Source organism: Homo sapiens, chromosome 8, assembly GCF_000001405.40.
Source record: "Homo sapiens chromosome 8, GRCh38.p14 Primary Assembly".
NCBI lineage: Eukaryota > Metazoa > Chordata > Mammalia > Primates > Hominidae > Homo > Homo sapiens.
Window position 1 is genome coordinate 12,705,222 of NC_000008.11, and position 6,000 is coordinate 12,711,221.

A 6,000-nucleotide genomic window follows, 5' to 3' on the forward strand; every position below is an offset into this window, starting at 1 on the left:
CCCTGTGATATGATTCATAATATCCTAGAGAGATATTACCTGTAATATCACAGTTTCTGTACACCCTGTGGTGTTATTTGTAATATCCTAGGGAGATATTATTCCGAACATCACAGTGCATGTACACCATGGGTGGACACCCTGTGATGTTATTCATAATATCCTAGGTGGATATTACCCTTAATGTCACAGTGCGTGTACACCAGGTGTATACACACTGAGATGTTACTCGTAATATCCTAGGGAGAAATTACGCCTAATATTACAGTGGGTGTACACCATGTGTTTCTACTCTGTGATGCTATTCATAATATCTTAGAAAGTTACTAGTCCTAGTGCCACAGTGGGTGTGTACCATGTGTGTACACTCTGTGATGTTATTCGTATTATCCTAAGGAGATAGTTATAATATCACCGTGGGTGTCCCTCATGTCTGTACTCCCTGTGGTGTTATTGGTTACGTCCTGGGTTGATATTACTCCTAATATCACCATGGGTGCACAGCATGGGTGTACATTCTGTGATGTTATTCGTAATATCCTAGGGAGATATCACTCCTTATGTCATAGTGGGTGTACAGCCTTGTGATATTATTGGTAGTATACTTGGGATGTATTACTCCTGTTATCACAGTGGGTGTACACCCTGTGATAGTATTTGTAATATCCTAGGGAGATATTACTCTATACCCTGTGATATTATTTGTGACCTTTTAGGGAGCTATTTCTCCTAAAGTCAAAGTGGGTGTACACCCTGTAATATTCTTCCTAATATCACTGTGGGTGTACACCATGAGTGATATTTTTTCTAATATCCAGTGGGGGAGAGGATGATATTGCTTCCAATATCACAGAAGGTGTACACCCCCCTGTGATATTGTTCCTAATATCCAGGGAAGGAGAGGATGATATTATTCCCAATATCACTGGGGGTGTACCACCTCCCGCCGGGATATTGTTGCTAATATCCGGAGGTGGAGAGAATGATGTTACTTCCAATATCACAGGGGGTGTACACCACCCCTGTTTGTAAACACTCCCTGTGATATTGCTCCAAATGGCCTGTGAAAGAGTAAATATTACTCCCATTATCGCAGGGGGTGTTCAGCCCTGCTGATATTGTTTTCTAACTTCCAGGGAAGGAGAGTATGATATTACTCCCAATATGGCAGGGGTTGTACAACTTTTTGTGTTATTGCGCCCAATATCCAGGGAAATAGAGGATGATATTACTCCCAATATCGAAGTAATTCTACAGCACCCCTGTGATATTCTTCCTTATATCCAGAAAGGAAAAGAATGATACTACTCCCAACAGCGTAGGAAATGTACACCTGCGCTATGATATCTTTCCCAGTATCCAGGAGGGGAGAGGATCATACTGCTTCCAATATCGCAGGGCGTGTACACCCCCTCTGTGATTTGTTGCTAACGTCCAGGTTTGGGGAGAACGACATTACTCCCAATATCGCAGGGGGAGTACAACTCCCGTGACCTTGTTAGTCATTTCCTGGGTGGAGAGGATGATCTTACTCCCAATATCGCAGGGGGAGTACACACCCTTGTGAAAATCTCCCTAATATCCAGAGGGAGAGAGGATAATATTACTCCCAGTACTGCAGGGGGTTTACACAGCCCTGTGATACTCTTCCTAATATCCACAGGGAAAGAGGATGATATGACTTCCAATATCGAAGGGGGCTTATGCAACCCTGTGATATTGTTCCTAATATCCAGAGCGAAAGAGGATGATATGACTCTCAATATCACAGGGGGTATACACCCCTCCTGTACTATTGTCCTGAATACCCTGGGAGGGAGAGGATAAGGTGACATTGAATATCGCAGGGAATGTACACCCTCCTCCTCTGATACCCTTCCTAATATCCAGGGGAAGAGAGGATAATTTTAGGCCCAATATCGCAGAGGCAGTACACCCCTCCTGTGATGTTGTTCCTAATATGCAAGTGGGGACAGGATGATACTACTCCCAATATCGCAGGGCTGTTCACATCCCCAGTTTCATATTTCCTAATATGTAGGGGAGAGACAATTATATGACAGCAAATGTCACAGAGTCTGTACATCCCTTCCTCGTATTGTTCCTAATATCCATGGGGGAAGAGGATGATATCAAATATCAAAGGGGGTGTACACACCCCACCCCTACGATCTGCTCTCAATATTCTTGAGGGGAGACGATGATATTACTCCAAATATCGCAGGGGTTGTTCACACCCCCCTGTGATATTGTTTCTAATATCCTCGGGGGGGAGAAAATAATATTACTTCCAAGATTGCAGGTGGTGTAAACCCCACCTGAAATATCGCACCGAATATCCAAAGAGGGAGAGGATGGTATTCATACCAACATCGAAGTGTGTGTACACGCCCCTTGTGATATGGTTTTTAATATCCAGGGGGCGGGAGGATGATATGAGTCCCAACATCCCAGAGGCTGTACACCACCCCTGTGATGTTGTCCCTAACTTCCAGAAGGGAGAAATTGATATCACTCCCAATATCTCAGAAGTTGTACATCCTCCGTGATATTGTTCGTCATATCCAGGGAGGCACAGGATGACATTCCATTGAATGTCGCGACAGACGTACACGCACTGTGTGATATTGTTCCTAATATCCACGAAGGGAGAGGATGATATTACTCCCAGTAAAGCAGTGGGTGTACATTATCCCTGTGTTATTGTCTCTAATATCCGGAGCCGGGGGAGGGGAGTAGAGGATAACATTCCCTCAAATTTAGCAGGCGGTTTGACGCCCCTTGTGGTGTTGTTTTAAATATGCAGCGGGGAAGACTTTAATACTATTTTGGATAGTCCGATTCACCTGCTCCACCTTTCCAGAACTCTGAGGCCAGGAGGCGGCATGCAGTTTCCGTGTGATCCCCAATACCTTTGCCGTCTTCTGTACCAAGTCAGCCACAAACGCAGGCCCGTTATCTGAGCCGATCCGTAAGGGCAGTCCAAATGTAGGAATCAGATCTGGAGGAAGCACAGGGGTTACTTCATGAGCTTTCTCAGTTCGTGTTGGATAAGCCTCCACCCACCCAGAGTAGGTACACCCAAGAACTAGTAAATGCTTGTTACCTCCACACTTTGGCACCTCTGTGAAGTCTACCTGGAGATCTTCAAAGGGGGCTGCTCCATAAGCTTGTATGCCGGACGGAACAGCTGGACCTTGCCTCGCATTATGCTGTCGGCAGGTAACACACCACTGGGGCACCGTTTTGACAAGGGCTGACAAATGCGAGATGTGGAAATACCAGCCTACCAACTTTTCCAGTGACTCCTGACCTAGATGGGTGGTTTTCTGCGCAGCCAGTACAACTGCAGCTCCTAGCAGCTGTGGCACAGCTACTCTGCCATCTGGTAACTGAATCCATCCTTCCTCCATCACTTGTCCTTCCCTCTACCTGGAGAAAGTCCTTTTCTTCCTTAGAATAAGTAGGTCCAAGATCAGGTGCTTGAGGGAGCAGAGGGGCTGTGACTGATGCCCGGAAGGGGGCAGATGCTGCTTGTCGAGGCTCTGAGTCAGCACGGGAGTTCCCCAAACCCACCAAGGTGGAAGCTCGCTGGTGTCCTCTGCAATGCACAACTGCCACCTTGTGGGGTTTCCATACTGCTTCTGATAATTGCAAGATTTCTTGTGGTTACTTTCTGTCTTTTCCCCCAGAGTTCAGCAGGCCTTTTTCTTTCTATCATGCTCCATGCACTTGAAGGGTTAAAAAGGCATACAGAGGATCAGCGTAAATGTTGACAGTCTCACCTTCACTGAGTTCTAAAGCCCAAATTAAAACAATGAGTTCAGCTTTCTGAGCTGAAGTGCCCTGGGGCAAAGATCTGGCTTTAACAACAGTGTCCAGGGTTACCACTGCATACCCTGCACCTCTCTCTCTTTGGAGGTTGAAGAAGCTGCTCCCATCCACCTATAGTTCCTGGTCTGCTGATGCCTAAGTCTGGTCCCAGAGGTCAGGTCTGCTAGAGTCAACAGAGTCCAACACTTCTATACAATCATGATCGACAGGGCTCTCTGATACCGGGAGCAAGGTGGCAGGGTTTAGGGTGTTACAAACTTCAATGGTTATACGGAGATTTTCACGGAGCAAAGTTTGGTACTTGGTGAGTCTGGCATTCGTTACCCAATGACGTCCTTTAGTATTCATTAAAGTCACCACAACACGGGAGGCCTTTATGTTCAGGTTTTGGCCAAGAGTCAGCTTATGTGCTTCTTGTACTAGCAGGGCAGTTGCTGCCAAGGCCCTCAAACACGGGGGCCATCCTTTCTGCCAGGGCCCCACAGTTTGGGTTCAAAGTCCAGCTGCCATTTTTTCTCTCTCTGATGCATACAATGGAAAAGGCTTTGTCAGATCAGGTAGCCCCAGGGCTGGGGCTGACATAAGTTTTTTCTTTAACACATGAAAGACTTGCTGTTGTTGGGATCCCCATTCAAAAATTCCTGGTCCCCGCCCCCTTGTGACCTCATACAAAGGTTGGCTAATACTGCAAAATTTGGGATCCACAGTCTACAAAACCCCAGGGCTCCTAAGAATTCTCTCACCTGCCTTCTGCTCTTAGGCTCTGCTAGATTGCAAATGACCTGCATTCTTTCTGATCCCAGGCTGACTTCCCCCTTTCGGATAGTAAATCCCAAGTAATGTACCTGCTGTTGGCAGATCTGAGCTTTCTTCTTGGACACCTTCTACCCACAGTCCTCCAGGTGCTGGTGTAGGGCATCTGTTCCCTTGGCGCACCCAACTGCCGTGGGGTGTCCCAGCAAACGGTCATCAACCTACTGGAGAAACATGCAGCCTAGGTCTCTGCTGGGAAACTTCTGGAAGTCTCCAGCCAACACCTCCCCGAAAATGGTGGGGGAGTTCTTGAACCCTTGGGGAAGCCCAGTCCAAGTGTACTAAGTAGTGACACCTGACTCCAGATCTTCCCACTGAAAGGCAAACAGCTTCTGCCTCTCAAGGGCTAATCTGATAGGCAAGAAAGCATCTTTCAGGTCCAAGCAGGTGAACCAGCTGTCCTCAGCTGTCAGCAACCCCAACAATGTGGACGGGTTAGGTACTGTTGGATGTAAAGTCAGTATAGCTTGATGAAGCTAGCGCAAATCCTGTACTGGCCTGTAGTTCTTGGTCCGTGGCTTGGGAACAGGCAGGAGGGGAGTGTTCCATGGAGACTGACAAGGAACTCTAATTCCAAAAGGTCTTAGGTGCTTGAGATGGACCTGGATACCTTGAAGGGCTTCTCTGGGGACCGGGTCCTGTTTTTACCTAACCGGCTGGGCCCCAGGCTTCACTTCTATGAGTACAGGGGCTTGGTTGACTGCCAGCCCTGGAGGGTTGTCTTCCGCCCGTACTCTTGGCCATCGCTTAGCCAGAGCTGGTCTTATCTCTTGGTCCAGCTCAGTGAAGAAAAGTCTCCATTCCTCCTCTCGGGAGACTATAAGGGTCATAACGACTCCCGTTCCAGGTAACTTTAGCAGCAAAGAGCCGTGCTCTGTCAAAGAGATAGTGGCTCTCAGCTTGCTAAGCAAGTCCCTTCCCAACAAGCGCAAGGGACAGTTAGGCGTGTACAAAAACTGCTGAATGACTTTAGGTCCTCCTACAGTACAAGTCCGAGGCAAGCAGAAAGCTTGCTTTGCTGAAACCCCCGTGGCTGCGATGATGTCAATAGTCTTTTTGGATAAGGGGGCGACCGGGGTGGTTACTAGCGAATGTTCAGCACCGGTATCTACAAGAAAATCAGTGTCTCTACCCCGACTGTCGTTCTGACCAGAGGCTCTTTGAGGACACTTGAGCCCAGTCTCCCTCAGTCCAATAACCTTTCTGCCAGGTTGAGCAGGGCCCCTTCCTCCTTGTCTGGGGCCTCCTGATCTGAGTCACCTTGTTTTCTTTTGAGCTGAGGGCATTTGTTCTTCCAACGTCCTATTTCTGTACAATAAGCACACTGGTTACACTGCAAACTCTGACAGCCAA